Source organism: Homo sapiens, chromosome 15, assembly GCF_000001405.40.
Source record: "Homo sapiens chromosome 15, GRCh38.p14 Primary Assembly".
NCBI classification, from domain to species: Eukaryota; Metazoa; Chordata; class Mammalia; order Primates; family Hominidae; genus Homo; species Homo sapiens.
Window position 1 is genome coordinate 37,967,994 of NC_000015.10, and position 19,624 is coordinate 37,987,617.

General features: G+C 40.8%; 1 protein-coding gene across 5 annotated transcripts in view; it reads left to right on the forward strand.

Annotated features, from left to right (window-relative positions):
* TMCO5A (transmembrane and coiled-coil domains 5A) overlaps positions 1–19,624 on the forward strand; it is a 106,226-nt gene that overhangs the window by 33,354 nt on the left and 53,248 nt on the right. Inside the window, exon 12 of one of the 5 annotated variants that reach the window (NM_001370737.1) lies at positions 611–684. The exons of the other annotated variants lie outside the window; for them this stretch is intronic. Within the exon in view, the coding sequence (NP_001357666.1) occupies positions 611–684 (74 nt within the window). The remainder of the gene's footprint in view (positions 1–610; positions 685–19,624) is intronic. 5 annotated transcript variants of the gene reach the window in all.

The following is a 19,624-nucleotide window of genomic DNA, read 5'->3' on the forward strand; positions in this document are numbered from 1 at the left end:
AATTATGCCAGGACTGTTTCAGAAAACCAGGATGTATTGTTACCTTCTATGTAATTTGAGATCTTGTTCACCCTATGTGGTTTGCTGAGGCAGGTGGATTTCATTCTTCAGTGCTAAGTGCAGATAACAGTGTCCCATGCTTAGAATCTCAGTGCCAGACTCAAGGTGCACTTCTTCTTCCATTCAAATACTCAGCCCTACTCTGCCCTGTGCTCCAAGGTCAAGCTCCTAGAGGATCAAGATGAACTCAGGTTTCTGCCTCCCTCACCCTTGCTTCTCCAGGATGCCCTTCAGGAAGTCAGGCTACTCTCTGGAGATCCACCCCTTTGGAGGTCAGAAGTCTTACCTTCCAAAGACTCACCACCCAAACGCAAACAGCTCAAAGATACACTCCAAGGAAAGCTCCAAGGTGCACACCTTTCCTTCCAGACACTTTCCACACTCCTTTGAAGGTTCTGCATCTGGAGAAGAGAAACAGTTCACTAAAAGCCAGTGTTAGAGACACCATTCGTTTCTACGGTCAAACCTGAGTTTTCTGAGCTGTTATCAACTGGCCTGTTTAGGCAACATCTCTACACTTCTACATTTCTTTTTTTTTTTTTTTTTTTAGATGGAATCTCGCCCTGTTGCCCAGGCTGGAGTGCAATGACATTATCTCAGCTCACTGCAACTTCCACCGCCCAGGTTCAAATTATTCTCCTGCCTCAGCCTCCCAAGTAGCTGGGGTTACAGGCGCCCACCACCACGCCCGGCTAATTTTTGTATTTCTAGTAGAGACGGGGTTTCACCACATTGGCCAGGCTGGTCTCCAACTCCTGACCTCGTGATCTGCCCACCTCAGCCTCCCAAAGTGCTGGAATTACAGGCGTGAGCCACCGCACCCGGCCTACTTCTACATTTCAAAATAATTATTTATCAGAATGATAAGTTCATATTGCTCATGATTTGAGGAAAAAAGGGAAAGGAAGAAAAAGAATATTTGTTAAATCCTTAGTACTGTGTAGTGTTGGGAATACATGGATGAAGAAGACATAATATCTGGTTTTGAGAAGGTGGGAAGGAGAGACAGATATATCACGTGTATATATGATAAGTCCTATAACAGAAACATAGAAGGAGTAATTCTCCATGTCTACGTCCAATAAGAGGTGACATTAAATCTGTGAATTATGCTAGACTTGGAAGAAAAATGACATGCCACATATTAGATAAGCTGACCATGTGTTAGCAAAGCCATTCTTTACTGAAGGACTAAAAACATTTTCCATCCTAGATGAATATCTCAAATGGAAGTACCAAATACAAGTATCCCCAAAAATGAGCAACTTAGTATATCAAGTTGTCTGGAGTTGGTAAATTCTTTATAACACTAGGCCTCAGAGAAAACCAAACCCTCTTCTACTGGCAATTATTAGAGTAGTGCACAAATACCCACATTCTGATAATACCAGTAACTCTAAGATATTTACTCAAGACCCCATCACCCTAAATGAGAATACCCAACACTATGTCACTGCCTTGAGGGTTTCCAATAAAGTTCTGCTTTTTGTGTATAACTTTTTATAAAACTTTTATTTTAGGTTCAGGGGTACATGTGCTTGTTTGCTATATAGGTAAATTGCATGTCACAGGGCTTTGTTATACAGATTATTTCATCACCTAGGTAATAATCTCACTATCCAATAGGTGGTTTTCAGTTCCTCTCCCTCCTCCACCTTCCACCCTCAAGTACACTTGTGTTCATGTGTTGTTGATGTTTGCTCCCATTTATAAGCAAGAACATGCAGTACTTGGTTTTCTGTTCCTGAGTTAGTTTGCTTATGATAATGGCCTCAAACTCCATTCATGTTGCTGCAAAGGACATAATCTTGTTCTTTTTTTATGGTTGCATAGTATATATATACCACATTTTATTTATCCTGTCTACCATTGATGGGCATTTAGGTTGATTCCATGTCTTTGCTATTGTGAGTAGTGCTCTGATGAGTATATGCATGTATGTGTCTTTATAGTCGAATGGCTTATATTCCTTTGGGTATACACCCAATCATGGGACTGCTGGGTTGAATGGTTAATTCTGTTTTAAGTTCTTTGAGAAATTGCCACACTGCTTTCCACTATGGCTGAGCTAATTTACAGTCTGTATTATTCTGTTTTCACACTGCTGATAAAGACATACCCGAGGCTGGGCAATTTACAAAAGAAGGAGGCTTATTGGACTTACAGTTCTGCATGGCTAGGGAGGCCTCACAATCATAATGGAAGGTGAAAGTCATGTCTCACATGGTGGCAGACAAGAGAAGACAGCTTGTGTAGGAAAACTCCCATTTTTAAAACCATCTGCTCTCCTGAGACTTATTGACTATCACAAGAACAGCACAAGAAAGACCTGCCCCCATGATTCAACTATCTCCCACCAGGTCCCTCCCACAATACGTGGGAATTCAAGATGAGATTTGGGTGGGGACACAGTCAAACCATATCATTCTGCCTCTGGCCCGTCCCAAATCTTATTTCCTCACATTTTAAAACCAATCATGCCTTTCCTACAGTCCCCCAAAGTCTTAACTCATTTCTGCATTAACTCAAAAGTCCACAGTCCAAAGTCTCATTGGAGACAAGGAAAGTCCCTTCTGCCTATGAGACTGTAAAATCAAAAGCAATTTAGTTACTTCCTAGAGACAATGGGGATACAGGTATTGGGTAAATATGGCCATTCCAAATGGGAGAAATTAACCAAAACAAAGGGGCTACAGGCCCCATACAAGTCCAAAATCCAGTGGGGTAGTCAAATTTTAAAGCTCCAAAATGATCTCCTTTGATTCCATGTCTCATATCCAGGTCATGCTGATGCAAGAGGTGGTTTCCCATAGTCTTGGGCAGCTCTGCCCCTGTGGCTTTGCAGGATATAGCCCCCCTCCTGGGTGCTTTCATGGCCTGGCATTGAGTGTCTGTGGCTTTTCCAGGCACCTTGTGCAAGCTGTCAGTGGATCTACCATTCTGGGATCTGGAGGATGGTTGCCCACTTCTCACAGCTCCACTAGGCAGTGCCCCAGTAGGGACTCTGTGTGGGGGCTCTGACCTCACATTTCCCTTTCATACTGCACTAGCAGAGGTTCTCCATGAGGACCCCGCCCCTGTAGCAAACTTCTGCCTGGGCATCCAGGCATTTCCATACAACCTCTGAAATCTAGGCAGAGGTTCTCAAACCTCAATTCTTGACTTCTGTGCACCTGTAGACTCAACACCATGTGGAAGCTGCCAAGGCTTGGGGCTTCCACCCTCTGAAGCAACAGACTGAGCTGCACCTTGGCCCCTTTTAGTCACAGCTAGAGTGGCTGGAACACAAGGCACCAAGTCCCCAGACTGCACATAGCAAAGAGACCCTGGGCCCAGCCCACAAAGCAATTTCTTCCTTCTAGGCCTCCAGGCCTGTGATTGGAGGGGCTGCCATGAAGACCTCTGACATGCTTAGAGACATTTTCCCCATTGTCTTGGGAATTAAGTAATTCCTCATTACTTATGCAAATTTCTGCAGCTGCCTTGAATTTCTCCTCAGAAAATGGGATTTTCTTTTCTATCACAATGTCAGGCTGCATATTTTCCAAACTTTTATGCTGTTTCCCTTTTAAAACAATGTTTTTAACAGCACCCAAGTCATATCTTTAATGCTTTGCTGCCTAGAAATTTCTTCCACCAGATACCCTAAATCATCTCTCTCAACTTCAAAGTTCCACAAATCTCTAGGGCAGGGGCAAAATGCTGCCAGTCTCTTTGCTAAAACATAACAAGAGTTACTTTTGCTCCACTTCCCAACAAGTTCCTCATCTCCATCTGAGACCGCCTCAGCCTGGATTTCATTGTTCATATCATTATCAGCATTTTGGTCAATGCCATTTAACAAGTCTCTAGGGAATTCCAAACTTCCCCACATTTTCCTGTCTTCTTCTGTGCCCTCCAAACTGTTCCAACCTCTGCCTGTTACCAAGTTCCAAAGTTGCTTCTACATTTTTGAGTATCTTTTCAGCAGTGCCCCACTCTACTGGTACCAATTTACTGTATTAGTCTGTTTTCACACTGCTGATGAAGACATACCTGAGACTGGGCAATTTACAAAAGAAAGAGGTTTATTGGACTTACAGTTCCACGTGGCTGGGGAGGCCTCACAATTACAGCAGAAGGCCAAAGGCACATCTCGCATCGCAGCAGACAAGAGAAGAGAGCTTGCTCATGGAAACTGCCATTTTTAATACCATCTCCTGAGACTTATTCACTATCATGAGGACAGCATGGAAAAGACCTGCCACCATGATTCAATTACCTCCCACCGGGTCCCTCCCACAACCCGTGGGAATTCAAGATGAGATTTGGGTGGGGACACAGCCAAACCATATCACAGTCCCACCAACAATGTATACGCATTTTCTTTTCTCTGCAACTTTGTCAGCATTTGTTATTTTTTGAGTTTTTAATAATAGCCATTCTGAGTGGTGTGAGATGTTATCTCCTTGTGGTTTTGATTTACATTTCTCTGATGATTAGTGATGTTGAGCATTTTTTCATATGCTTCTTGACCATATGTATGTCTTCTTTTGAAAAGTGTCTGTTCATGTTCTTTGTTCACGTTTTAATGGGGTTGTTTTTTTCTTGTAAATTTGTTTAAGTTCCTTATAGATTCTGGATATTCGACATTTATTGGATATATAGCTTGCATATATTTTCTCCCATTCTGTAGGCTGTTTACTCTGTTGATAATTTCTTTTGCTGTGCAGAAGCTCTTCAGTTTAATCAGATTCCATCTGACAATTTTTGGGTTTTGTTGCAATTGTTTTTGGCAGCTTCATCATGAAATCTTTGTGAGGACGTATGTCTACAATGACTTTTTTAGGTTGCCTTCTGGGTTTTTATAGTTGTAGGTTTTACATACAAGTCTCTAACCTAGCTTGCATTGATTTTTGTATATGGTGTAAGGAAGGAGTTCAGTTTTAATCTTCTTCACAGGGCTAACCAGTTATTCCAGTTCCATTTGTTGAATAGGGTGTCCTTTCCCCATTGCCTGTTTTGTCAACTTTGTCAAAGATCAGACTATTGTAGGTGTGTGGTTTTATTTCTGGGGTGTCTACTCTGTTCCATCAGTCTATGTGTTTTTATTTTCTTTTTTTCCTTTTTTTTTTTTGTACCATGCTGTTTTGGTTACTGTAACCTTGTAGTATAGTTTGAAGTCAGGTAATGTGATGTCTCCAGCTTTGTTCTTTGTGCTTAGTATTGCCTTGGCTATTGGGGCTCTTTTTTGGTTCCATATGAATTTTGAATAGTTTTTTATAATTATGTGAAGAATGCCATTGACAGTTTATAGGAATAGCATTGAATCTATAAATTGCTTTGGTCAGTATGGCCATTTTAACAATATTGATTCTTCCTACCCATAAGCATTGAATATGTCATCTCTGATTTCTTTGAGCAGGGTTTTGTAATTCTCATTGTAGAAATTTTTCACCTCCTTGGTTAGCTGTATTCCCAGTGATTTTATTCCTTTCCTGGCACTTGTGAATGTGATTCATTCCTGATTTGGCTCTCGGCTTGGCTATTGTGCATTGCCCAGTGATTTTTGTGCATTGATTTTGTATCCTGAAACTTTGCTGAAGTTGTTTATCAGCTGAAGGAGCTTCTGGGCTGAGACTATGGGGTTTTCCAGATATAGAATTATTTTGTCTACAAAAGGAGATAGTTTGACTTCCTCTCTTCCTATTTCTATGTCTTTAGTTTCTTTCTCTTGCCTGATTGCTCTGGCTAGGATATCCAGTACAATGTTGAATATGAGTGGTGAAAGTGGGCATCCTTGTCTTGTTCCAATTCTCAAATGTTTCAAGTTTTTGCCCATTCAGTATGATGTTTGCTGTGGGTTTGTTACATATGGCTCTTATTATTTTGAGGTATGTTCCTTCATTGCCTAGTGTATCAAGGGTTTTTAACATGAAAAGATTTTGCATTTTATCAAAGGCCTTTTCTGCATCTATTGAAATGATCATGTGGTTTTGGTTTTAGTTCTGTTTATGTGATGAATCACATTTATTGCCTCACGTATGTTGAACAAACCTTGCATCCCAGAGATTAATCCTACTTGATTGTGGTTGATTATTTTTTTGATGTCTTGCTGGATTTTGTTTGCTGATATTTTGTTGAGGAATTTTGCATCTATGTTTATCGAGAATATTCTCCTGAGGCTTTCCTTTTGTTCTTTCTGTGCCAGGTTTTGGTATCAGGAAGATGCTGGCCTCATAGAATGAGTTAGGGAGGAGTCCCTTCTCAATTTTTTGAAATAGTTTCAATAGGAATGGTACCAGCTTTCTTTTATACATGTGATAGAATTTAGTTGTGACTTCATCTGATCCTGGGCTTTTTATGATTGGTAGGCTTTTGATTACTGATTCAATTTCAGAACTCATTATTGGTTTGTTCAGGGATTCCATTTCTTCCTGGTTCAAACTTGGGAGGCGTAGGTTTCCAAGAATTTATCCATTTATTCTAGGTTTTCTAGTTTTTGTGCTTAAAGGTATTAGTAGCAGTCTCTGAGCGTTGTTTGTATTTCTGTGGGTTGGTGGTAATGTCCTCTTTATTTCTGATTGTGTTTATTTGGATCTTCTCTTTTTTTCTTTATTTGTCTAGCTAGTGATCTACTAATCTTATTCTTTCAAAAAACCAACTCCTGATGTGTTGACCTTTTGTATGGTTTTTCACATCTCATTTTCCTTCAGTTTGCCTCTGATTTTGGTTATTTCTTGTCTTCTGCTAGCTCTGGGGTTGGTTTGCTCTTGTTTCTCTAGTTACTCTAGGTGTTATGTTAGTTGCTAATTTAAGATCTTTCTATTTGATGTGGGCATTTAATGCTATAAATTTTTCTCTAAACACTGCTATAGCTGTGTCCTAGAGATTCTGGTATGTTGTATCTTTGTTCTCATTAGTTTCAAAGTATTTCTTGATGTCTACCTTAGTTTCATTGTTTACACAAAAGTTACTTAGGAGCAGGTTGTTTAATTTCCATGTAACAGTGTGCTTTTGAGGAGTTTTCTTGGTATTGATTTCTATTTTTATTGTACTGTGATCCAAGAGTGTGTTTGGTATAATTTGGGTTTTTTAAATTTGCTAAGGATTGTTTTATGGCCAATTGTGTGGTCTATTTTGGTGTATGTGCCCATGCAAAGGAGAAAAACGTATATTCTGTTGTTTTTGGATAGAGAGTTCTGTTAAGTGTATGTTAGGCCCATTTTGTCAAGTGTTGAGTTCAGGTCCCAAATATCTTTGTTAGTTTTCTGCCTCAATTATCTAATACTGTCAGTGGGGTGTTGAAGTCTCCTACTATTACTGTTTGGTTATCTAAGTCTCTTTGTAGGTCTTTAAGAAATTGCTTTATAAATCTGGGTGTCCCTGTGTTGCATGCATATATATTTAGAAGAGTCAGATCTTCTTGTTGAATTAAACTCTTTACCATTATATAATGTCCTTCTGTGTCTCTTTTGATTACCATTGGTTTAAGGTCTGTTTTGTCTGAAATTAGAACAGCAACCCCTGCTTTTTCCTGTTTTCCATTTACTTGGTAGATTTTTCTCCATCCCTTTACTTTAAGTCTATGGGTGTCATTACATGTCAGGTGATTCTCTTGAAGACAGCATAGAGTTGGGTCTTGCTTTCTTTATTCAGCTTGACATTCTTTGCCTTTTAATTGGGGCATTTAGCCAATTTACATTCAAGATTAATATTGATCAGTTGCGGTTTGATTTTAGCTTGTTATTATTAGACTTGATTGCCTAGGCTGCTTTATAGTGTTAACAGTCTGTGTACTTCAGTGTGTTTTTGTGGCGGACAATATTAGTCTTTCCTTTCCATATTTAGCACTCCCTTAAGGACCTCTTGTAAGACAGTCTACGGGTAAGAATTCCCTTAGCATTTGCTTGTCTGAAAAAGATCTTGGTCAGGCATGGGGCCTCACGCCTGTAATCCCCAGCACTTTGGGAGACCAAGGTGGGTGGATCACCTGAGGTCAGGAGTTTGCGACTAGCCTGGCCAACATGGTGAAACCCTGTGTCTACCAATAATACAAAAATTAGCCAGGCATGGTGGTACATGCCTGGTAATCCCAGCTACTCGGGAGGCTGAGGCAGGATAATCGCTTGAACCTGGGAGGTGGAAGTTGCAGTGAGCTGAGATTGTACCACCGCACTCCAGCCTGGGTGACAGAGCAAGACCCCATCTTAAAAAAAAAAAAAAGATCTTATTTTTTCCTTCATGTTAGTCTGGTGCAGTTCCCTTTTTAGTGATCTGCTCCTTCTTTCTAGATGCCTTTAATATTTTGTCTTTCATTTCAGACTTGGAAATCTGATTATTGTGTGTCTTGGGGATAGTCATCTTGTACAGTATGTCACAGGGGTTCTCTGTATTTCTTGAATTTGAATGTTGGCCTCTCTAACAAGGTTAGGGAAATTTTCGTGGATGATGTCCGTAACTATGTTTTCCAAGTTGCTTGCTTTCTCTCCCTCTCTTTCAGGATAGCCAATGAGTCATAGGTTTGGTCTCTTTTCATAATCCCATGTATCTCAGAAGTTTTGTCAATTCTTTTTGTTTCTTCCTTACTTTTGTCTGATTGAGTTACTTCAGAGAAGTAGTTTTTGAACTCTGAGATTCTTTCCTCAGCTTGGTTGATTCTGCTGTTAATACTTGTAATTGTACTATGAAATTCTTGAAGTGAGTTTTTCAGCTCCATCAGATCAGTTTGGTTTCTTTCTTTCTTTCTTTTTCTTCTTTCTTTTTTTTTTTTTTTTTTTTGACAGAGTCTCACTCTGTTGCCCAGGCAATAGCACAATCTCGGCTCATTACAACCTCCGCCTCCCAGGTTCAAATGATTCCTCTGCCTCAGCCTCCTGAGTAACTGGGATTACAGTGCCTGCCACCTTGCCCATTTTTAATACAGACAGGGTTTCACCATGTTGACCAGGCTGGTCTCAAACTCCTATCTTAAAGTGACCTGCCCACCTTGGCCTCCCAAAGTGCTGGGATTACAGGCATGAGCCACCGCATCCAGCCTGGTTCTTTCTTAAAATTGCCATTTTGCCTTTTATCTCCTCTATCATTTTATTGTATTCCTTAGATTCCTCGGATTGGGTTTCAACTTTCTCCTGAATATTGATGATCTTTGTTCCTATCCATATTCTGAATTCTATGTCTGTCATTTCAGCCATTTCAGCCTGGTGAAGAACCATTGTTGGGGAACTAGTGCAGTTGTTTGGAGGTAAGAAGACACTCTGGCTTTTTGAGCTGCCAGAGTTCTTGTGCTGGTTCTTATTTGTGTGGGTTAGTGTTCCTTTAATTGTGGTGTAATTTGAGTATAGTCTGTTGTCTTCATTTCTGGATGTTTTCAGCAGGCTGAGGCTTCGTGCAGGGTCTTTTGTAGCTGAATTCTTGTCCTTGGTTTCACGGGGTGTATATTAGCAAAGTATTTTTGGTGTTGAAGTTTGGGTTCTGATCCAGTAGATGGCACTTAAGTGTAATAGCCAGTAGATACGCTCTTGCTTAGCCACGTGGCTCCTCTGTATTTCCTTGTGTTTGCAGCCATGCTCCATCTCTGTGCTTTGAGAGTGTGGACTCCTCTCCCACTCAAGTGTTGACTGAAGATCTCAGTTTGGCACTCCTGGGTTGCATATCCACAGCCTTGGGGCAAGCTCAGCCTTTATGTTGCCTGCCTGGCTTGGGGACAGCAGGGCCAGGGACTTCAGCAGTGGCAATGGCAAAAGGTCTTTCACTTGTTTCTTACAGCTCTACCCTCAGAGAAATGCAGGGCCCTTACCAATCTGGGAGACTGGCCTGGAGTGGGGCAGCTGTGTGGGCTTAACCTGGGGGCCCTGTCTGGCAACAAATAGTGGGGGCAGGGAACTCATGCGGAAGACAGACTTGCCTCTTCTCCTTATGGAGGCTGCAGCATGCTAGAGGTGTAAGGCACTCAGGGTCTTTGTTCCTTCCCAGTCTGAAGTCAGCAAGGGCAGTACCCCTACAATGGCAGTAGCAGTGGCAGAGGTGCTTTCAGTTGCCTCTGGGAGCCCCACTCCAGAGAAACACAGCCACTGCCAACGGGAACGGGAACGTTAAGCCAAGGGTTGGGACAACTGTACTGTGGGCCTGAGCCAGGAGCCCTGCTTGGTAAAGAGCAGGGTGTCAGGGCTTACAGGGAAGACAGAATGAGCTCCTTTCCTTAGGGTAACTGTGGCGTGCTGGAGCACAAATAAAGCCCTCAGACTCTTTGTTCCTTCCCCAGTCCAAGAGGAACAAGGGCAAAACTGCTGCAGTGGCAATGGCAGAGAGATTGTCAGTTGCCACTCAGAGCTCGGTCCTAGGGAAACACAGAGCTACTACCAGTGGGAATGCGCAGTCAGGGGTGGGGCAGCTGCTCTGTGGCCCTCAGCCGAGGACCCTGCCTGGTGAAGACTAGGGGGTGGGGGCTCACAGGAAAAAGAGTCTGAGTTCCTCTCCATAGGGTGGCTATGACATGCTGGAGGTGCCAGCAATGTGACCAGGCCCTTTGTTCCTTCCCCTGCCCAAGGGTAGTAAGGGTGGTACCACTGCAGCCACAATGCAAGAGAGCCTGAGGGTTGTCTCTGGGATTTCCTTTCCAGGGAAATGCAGAGCCACCATCGATTGATGTGTTCAGGCAGAGGCAAGGTTGTTGTGCTGGGTTGCCCCGTTTGAGAGGCTGTATTAGTCCATTCTTGTACTGCCATAAAGAAATACCTGATAGTAGGTAATTTATAAAGAAAAGAGGTTTAATTGGGTCACGGTTCGGCCGGCTAGGAAGCATGGCGGCATCTGCTTCTGGGGAGGCCTCAGGGAGCTTTGACTCATGGTGGAAGGCAAAGCAGGAGCAGGCATCTTAATGGCAGGAGCAGGACCAAGGTGGGTCGAGGGGCATTGCCACACACTTTTTAAAAACCTGATCTAGTGAGAACTCACTATCATGACAGAGTACCAAGGGGGAAATCCACCCCCATGATCCAATCACCTCCCACCAGGCCCCACCTCCCCATGATCCAATCACCTCCCACCAGGCCCCACCTCCAATACTGGGGATTATAATTTAACATAAGATTTGGGCAGGGACACAGATCTTAATTATGTCAAAGGCCCTGCCCAGTGAGGAGTAACAGGACCTGCCTGGAACACAGTCTTGTTGCTTTTCCGTAAGGCAGCGGTGCTGTGCTGGAGGTCCTCCTTAGTCCTTAGTCCTTAGTCTTTTTGCTCCCTCCCAAGCCTGAGGGCAGCAGGAGCAGGAGCTATAGAGAACAAAAATAACAGGTCTGCCCACTATTGCTGGGAGTTCTGTCCGAGGGCAGTGCAGGGCTGCCAATGCCACATGAAACTGGACTTCATTCTTGGCAGAATGTGGTAGGCTCCCATTTACCAGCACCCTGCCACACGACAGATCAAGAAATCCACACCCTCTAAACTCATGAATCTGAAAATTGGCATCATAAAAAACTACTTTCACACATTGTGGGTTTAGAACCTGCCTGAGCACCCAAGCGGGGATGGGGTGAGTGGGGACCCAGGTTATGAGGCCTTGCCCAATAAGGAGTAGTAGGGACAGCGAACCATGAGGAAAACAGAGTGGCCACTTTTCTTTAAGGCAGCTGTGCTCGGTGGAGGGCTGCATTAGTCCTTTATCTTTTCACATTCTCCCAAGCCTCAGGGCAGCAAGGGCAGGAGCTCCAGAGCAGCCAAAAAGGGCAGGCCTGTCTGCCACCACTGGGAGCTCCATCGCAGGGCAGAGCTGCTACCAGCACCCCAGGAGGGGTGAGATGGCTGGGGTCCCAGGTTGGGAGGCCCTGCCCACTGAGGGTAAGTGGGGGCAGTGACCCACATGGAAAACAGTCTGGCCACTTTTTCATAAGACAGCTGCACTGTGTCTTATGAAAAACATTCTGGCCACTTTTTCATAAGACAGCTGCACTGTGTTGGGGGCTATGTTAGTCTTTAATTGATTTGCTCCCTCCTGAGTCTGAGGGCAGCGGGAGCTGGGAGCTGCAAAGCCAGAAAACTAAGGGGCCTGCCTGCCACTACTGGAAACTCCATCCCAGGGAAGTGCAGAGGCCAGAGAGTTCAGGCGGTACCGGCGGCTGCACTAGGGTCCTAGGCCAGTGGGCCTAGGCTGGTGGGGTGCAGTGGAGGTAAGGCCTGCGGTCCGTCCACTCCTCAGCCCTGTCGATTCAGCCTCTATCCCAGGGAGGTGTGAAGGAGTCTTGCTGCCCCCACCGCCAGAGCTGCAATAGCTGGTGCCAGGGTGCCCAGGGGTCTAAGATCCTCAGGAAGCCACGTGTGCCTGAGTGGTGGCTCTGCCCAGGCTCCAAGCAGCTCATGTCAGTCTAGAGGCCCATTTCCCGGCAGTGGGGAGCCTCTCCCGGCTCCCTGCCGATCCTGGGTGGGTAGCTGTCCTGTCTCTCTCTTCTCCGTTCTCCATGAGTTGTGTTGCTTCCCCGATGAATCCCAACTTGTCCACCTGCATGATCCAGTTGAAGAGCTAATGTTTATTCGCCTTATTCGCCACTCTTTCTCCTCTCTGTGAGAGCGGCGCACACCAGCCGCTTCTAGTCAGCCATCTTGGCAAAAAAAAAAAAAAAAAAAAAAAAAATCTAGTGTCTTTCTTTCTACACTGAATGGCAGTGGAACTCTGAGATTCAGTGGAACCTGGAAGTTTGTTCCCACTGGGTGGCCAATGCTACATCAAACTGGACTTCATTCTTGTCAAAATGTGGTAGGCTCCCATTTACCAGCACCCTGCCACATGATAATGCAACAAATCCACACCCTCTAAACCCATGAATCTGAAAGTTGGCATCATAAAAAAGTGCTTTCACACATTGTGGTTTTAGAATCAATTTATTTTAAGAAAACTTTTTTTAAAATTTTTCTTTCATGAATATTTCATTATTCATCACTCTATTTTCTCTGCTGTAGCTAAGCAGAATAATGCTGAGAAAACAGTTCAAAAGTTATTGTAGAAGAATCAAATCTCCACTGCCAGCTTAAAATCCATAACATTTTCCCTTTTGTTGTTTAAAGTAAAGGTAAATGTTGACTGCATTCTTTGGAATCATACCCAGAATATAGCTGCTGAAGGTGAGAATACAAAGTACAAATTTCTGCTCAGAAGGTAGAGAAAGCCAGCAAAAAAAAAAAAAAAAAAAAAAAAACTGGTCCCAGAAGGCGGAGCAAGCCAGCAGAATAGTTTTGCCATGTAACAGTATTACCGTAGAAGGAGATTCAGTGGTATTTTAAATGGTTTTATTTTAAAAGATAAGAAAGGAAAAGAGAGAAAGATTCCTCGCCAGTGTAAACTTTTGACAATGAACAGCTGCCACTTTATGTGCTTTTATTTTACTGCAGCTATTAACTTTGCTTCCTTAAAATGATTTAAAATTTTTGATTTTATAATACTCAGAAACAGAGGTCTTAAAGGCAACACCCAATGGTTAAAATCATTGCTTTAAAAAAACCTTTCTAGCTGGGCACAGTGACAAGCGCATGTAGGTTCAGCTACTCAGGAGACCGGGGTTGGGAGGATCACTTGAGCCCAGGAGTTCAAGGCTAGCCAGGGAAACATGGCAGGACCCTGTCTCTGAAAATATAGAAAACAAAATACATTTCTGATAAGGAGCAAAACTAATAGCTGCTTTTCTGTGTTTACAGTGCAGACCTGGGAAGGTAACATTTTTATGTAGCATGAGGTTACAGCCTGACTAGAAACTATTGTAGGGGAGATAAACGGCTGTTGGCTGGCTGGCTTGCTTCTCCTGATGAATATTTACAGAAGAGACTGGCTATAGATGCCAGCAGCTGGCCTTCCCAACAGTGTCTTAATCATTACAGACAACGGAGCAGCCTGCATTGGCCTTTGAAGCAGTGTATTCCCTTATGATTTGACCACAGTAGCCTGTTTCCCTCATGAACAGTAGAGGCCACTATTCCATGACACTTGCAAGATCTCTTCAGAAGCTAGTCATTCATGTAAGTAAATTATATTCCTGCTAGATGCGGAACAGATGGACCAAGGTCCAAGATAACAGCAAACTTGTCCCATTTTTCACAGGTACATAGGCTGTAGCCAGATTTGAGCTTCAAGAGAATAGATGTGGAAAACAGATAGATGTGGATGATAAAGTATTTGAGTATCAATCCCAAGGGCTGAGACACTACCTACCATTTTAATCCACCTTAAATCTTCAGAATATGCATCCTCAGTGAATTTCTTTATGAGGTCTCTGTCCTTACACCTATGCGCACACTGAAGCAGGACTTCACACTTTGACAAGTGCCAGAGATAGATCTCACTCCACAATGCCACATATATTAGGTTACAATAATCTTATGTCTTTATAATTCTATATCTTATATATTACAATTATATACAAATATATATAACACCTATTATATAATAGATATTTTATGTATTATATATTATCTATATATAATAGATATTATATATTATCTATATATAATAGATATTATATATTATTATGATATATAATTGTTTATATATTATTTAATATATTATATATACTATAATTTATAATATATAATTATATATTATATCTAACATATAATATAGATATATAGTAGGTATATGATATATATCAGATATAATATATTAACACATATGTTATATGATCTATGTTTATAATTATATAAATATCTATAATATATAAATATATATAAATATATAATATATAAATATATTGAGTTATATTATATAACAGACATATATAATAGATATTATATTTCATATATATATGTGTGTGTATATATATATTTATATATGATTCATGGAGACAAAGGCAAAGGATGCCTGTCAGTCATCATACTGCAGAAACTGAATCATCCCCTTGGACATGTTTTATTTTTTCTATTCATAGTCCTCTCTCTTCCCATCTCTTTAATCAATCTACCTTTCCCCTCCTCATCGTAGCCTAAAATAAATTGCTGCCTAGAACCATTCAGCTCTCTCTCTTAACTTTTATTTTCTACCCAGTAAAACTAAAGTTTGGGAGCTATCCGTACAGTAAGCTGAGTTCATTCTTCCATATACATGCAAGTGTGTCAGCAGACCCAGAAAGAGCATGTCATGTGCTTGCCATGACACTCACCTTTCCCCCTTATACAAACATGATAATGTTCCATTTATGGGCACTTACGATGTGCTAGGCACTTCACTTTAGTGCTTCATGTGCATCATTGTTTTACACAATCTTCTAAGGTAGATATCATTATGCGCAGTTTCAGTTCACAAATAAGCCAGATTCACTGAGTAAACAGCACAACCTAGGTTCTGAGTTGAAAAAAAACAGGATATATGCCTGTATCTGGCCCCAAAGCTTGGCCTGTCTGTAAAATCTCTATTGCTTCTGACAACAGGCATTGAGCAGATGGCTGGCCAGGGAGATGTTGGGGCACAGCCCAAGGTAGGGGAAAGTTCACCTACCTGTGAAGGGAGAAACCCCAACCTTGACTACATTTATAGAAGAACTAGGCACCAGAGGGACTCTCAAATCACAGACTCATAGAATTGGCAAGAAATTTAGAGATTATTTCTCAGGTACCATGAGGTACTTTCCCAAGATCACACAATTAACTAGTGACAGAGCTAGAATAAGATCCCAGTCTTGTGAGTCCTTTTTTTTCTTTTTACTGTTTTTTTTTTTGTTTTTTTTTTGAGATGGAGTTTCGCTCTTGTTGCCCAGGCTGGAGTGCAATGGCATGATCTCGGCTCACTGCAACCTCCGCTTCCCAGATTCAAGTGATTCTCCTGCCTCAGCCTCCCAAGTAGCTGGAATTACAGGTGGCTGCCACCACACTCAGCTAATTTTTGTATTTTTAGTAGAGACGTAGAGACGGGGTTTCACCATGTTGGTCAGGCTGGTCTCGAACTCCTGACCTCAGGTGATCCACCCACCTCGGTCTCCCAAAGTGCTGAGATTGTCAACTACACTTATGTCTTCTGAGGTCATGAGAGGATACATGTTGCTCATCTAACTCTTCTAAGTCTTACGTATTCTAAGTGTTGCTTCTGGGGAAATAAAGCTTCATATTCCTCTCCATGCTTCTGTAAAAAGTAAGGGGGGCAGGGTAGAGAAGAAAGGGTAACACTTGAAATACATGAAGCTTTTTTTAGCAAAGCACATTAATAAATCTTAAGCTGTGCAAAGTGTGAATGAGGGAGGAGGTGGTAAGTGCTAGAGCTAAAATGCTCTTCATAATAATATAAGGATTTTTTTTTATCACAACTGGGAGACAGAGAAGCAGTAGGAGAGAAAGCTGAACAATGTCATGAGACTCTGAAATCTAAGTTGGTGGAAATGGAGAAGGGACTTTCAGAGGACCAGAAAAGCTAATATTCAATGTTAGAATATTTTCTAAACAGCGCTGCAACATGAGTACATGATTACCTCAATATCCAGTAAAATCTGCCACACATAGTTGTAGATATTTGCTTGTGCAAGTTGCTTCTTGTTGACTGGTTGTTATGGTTTGAATGCATGTGTACTTTCAAACTTCAAATATTGAAACCTATCACCAAGGCAATGGAGTTACAAGGCAGGGCCTTTGGGAGGTGATTAATGTCCTTAAAAAAGAGGCTGCAGAGAACATTTGTCTTTTTTTTTTTTTTTTTTTTTTTTTTTTTGCCTTTCCACTCTTCCACCTTGTGAGGACACAGCAACAAGCTGCCCTCTTGGAAGCAGAAAGCAGCTCTCACCAGACATCAAATCTGCCAGCACATTGATCTTGGACTTCCCACCCTTCAGAACTGTGAGACATTTCTGTTGTTTATAACTCACCCTGTCTATGGTATTTTGTTATAGCAGGAGAAATGGACTAAACTACTCTTACAAGTGAATTTTGGAAGAAAGAAAGAGTCATGTCTGAACTTTAGGTCAATGCTGGATTGGAGATAAACAAATAGCCATTAGTTATAGAATGAAGTATTCCACAAATACTAGAAGAAAGTATTTGTAGAAATGTTCAGGGAAAAAAAAAAAACAACAGAACAGAACATAGAATGGGGGATGGAGCAAGGCAATCTTAGAATCAAAGAGTGGGTGGCTTCTTCTGACATCTAGATTATAGAAGATTCTTCAACAGTGTTGTCTTCTTTCCTCTTCATTCTCTCAAAGAAGTCAATAAAAGCTCCCTCTCACTTTCCCACCACACAAGAGGCAAACCATGTGGAAGGTTATAGAATTCCACCAGATTTTAATTGTGAGGTTGTAGGGTAGGTAGGTGTTAATTTTTCTCCTAAAATTAGAATGATTTTCCCTGGGTTGTTTTATTGGATTCCATGCTCTGCTGTAAGAATATTTTAATGCAAATGAACTAAAATTGTATAATTTTTTGCTGTCATCTTTCATCCAAAGCACATAAAATTCCTAAGTTTCACTCAAATTTCTAGCAGTACATTGTAAATTTCTTAAAGTACTGTGGATAGCTATAGAAAATGTTGTACTTAACTATGCTAAGAAAATATTTTTTAAACAAAATTTTCTGTTTATTCTATTTTTAGAAAATAATCAGTTAAATTGACTTTCTCACCTCTAGACACTTCTCAGAGAACCATGAAAACAAATTCAAGGCAGAATAGTGACCTTCTTTGAGTCCCTTTAATTCATTATCTGCATCTGCATCTCCATTCTGATGCAAGTAGATGGACGTTTTGCCTTGGTCATTCCTGTTAATTGAAAACACTCTGTTATCTTTTCTAAAATCAAGTTATGTTCTTGAGAGTGTATTTATTTTAAAAGATTCTGAAACTCAATTTCTCACTAATTCATATTAGCTTTTCTTTCATATCAGCTTTTTTTTTAAAATTAACTTGTACTCTATTCTCTGTGGAGTTAATATCTTGGTTGGAACCTTTCCACTCAAGAAATAAATGGTCCAGTGAAGGAAGTAATGTGCCATTATCATCCTTATGCTTTGAAAATCTGTAGAATTTTGGAACTAGAAAAAAACAACTGAGACAATTGAGTTCTAGAGAAGTTGGGTTACACAGATAACTAGTACTAGAAGGCAGAACACACAGAATCATAGAAACTTGGGTTTATAAGAGATTTTGAAGGGCAGTTAGTTCAATCTCTCAAATATATTTTTAAAGAGAGGCTTGCACATAGTGAACATTCAACAAATAGAAATTAAATGAATGTAGAAATGTACATACTGACCAGCCTAGTGATTACTCAGCTTCTGCTTAGAAGCCATAAAGAAAAACCCCAATAAAAGTATTTTCAAATTTGAAATATAACTGAATAAAACTCTTTCTGATGGAAGCGAAAAAAGAGCCAAGGGGGGTAAGGGATGGTGTGTGTGTGTGTGTGTGTGTGTGTGTGTGTGTGTGTGTGTGTTTAAATCAAGCATTTTTATTGTGGTAAAAAATACATACGAAATTTTTCATCTTAATAATTTTTAAGTGTACAGTTCAGCAGCATTAAGTACATTCACACTTTTGTGTAACCATCACTGCCATCCATCTCCAGAGGTCTTTTTATCTTGCAAAACTGATACTCTGTACCCATTAAACAATATCTCCCCATTTCTCTTTCTCCCAGTCCCTGAAAAACACCAATTTACTTTCTATGAATTTGACTACTTTAGGTACCTCATATAAATGGAATTACACAGTATTGGTCTTTTCATGACTGGTTTATTTCACTTTATATGTCTTCAAGTTTCATCCATGTTGCAGCATACAAGATTCCCTTTCTTTTTAAGACTGAATAATTCATCTGTTAATGGACACTTATGTTGCTTCCACATTTTAGCTATGGTGAATAATGCTGCTATGAACATCGGGGTACAGATATCTCTTCAAGATTTTCCTTTCAATTCTGGCTGTATATCCAGAAGGAGAATTGTTGAAACACATGATAATTCTATTTTGAATTTTTTAAGGAACCACCATACTGTTTTCCATACAGTAGCTGCCCCACTTTACATTTTGACCAATAGTGCACAAAAGTTCCAATATCTCCACACCTTCATCAACATACATTTTTTGTATTTTTGATAGTAGTCATCCTAATGTGTGTAAGGTGATATCTCACCATGTTTTTTATTTTCACTTTTCTAATAATTAGTGATGTTGAGCATCCTTTCATGTGCTTACTGACCATTTGTTTATATCGTCTTTGAAGCAATGTCTATTCAAGTCATTCACCTATTTTTAATTAAGTTGTTATTATTGAGTTATCTCTATATTCTGTATATTAATCCCTTATCAGACATATACTTTGCAAATATTTTCTCTCATTTTGTGGGTTGCCTTTTTACTCTGTCAATTAAGTCTTTTGAGGCCAAAAGTTTTTAATTTTTATGAAGATCAATTTGTTGTTGTTTTTGTTTTGTTGCTTAGGCCTTTGGTGCTATATCTAAAAAATTGCCAAATCTAGTGTTATAAAGACTTTGTCCTGTGTCATATTTTATGTTTAGGCTTTTGATCCATTTTGAGTTAATTTTTGCATACGATGTTATGTAAAGGTCAAAATTGATTCTTTTGCAATGTGGTCATACAGTTTACCCAGGACTGTATGGTGAAAAT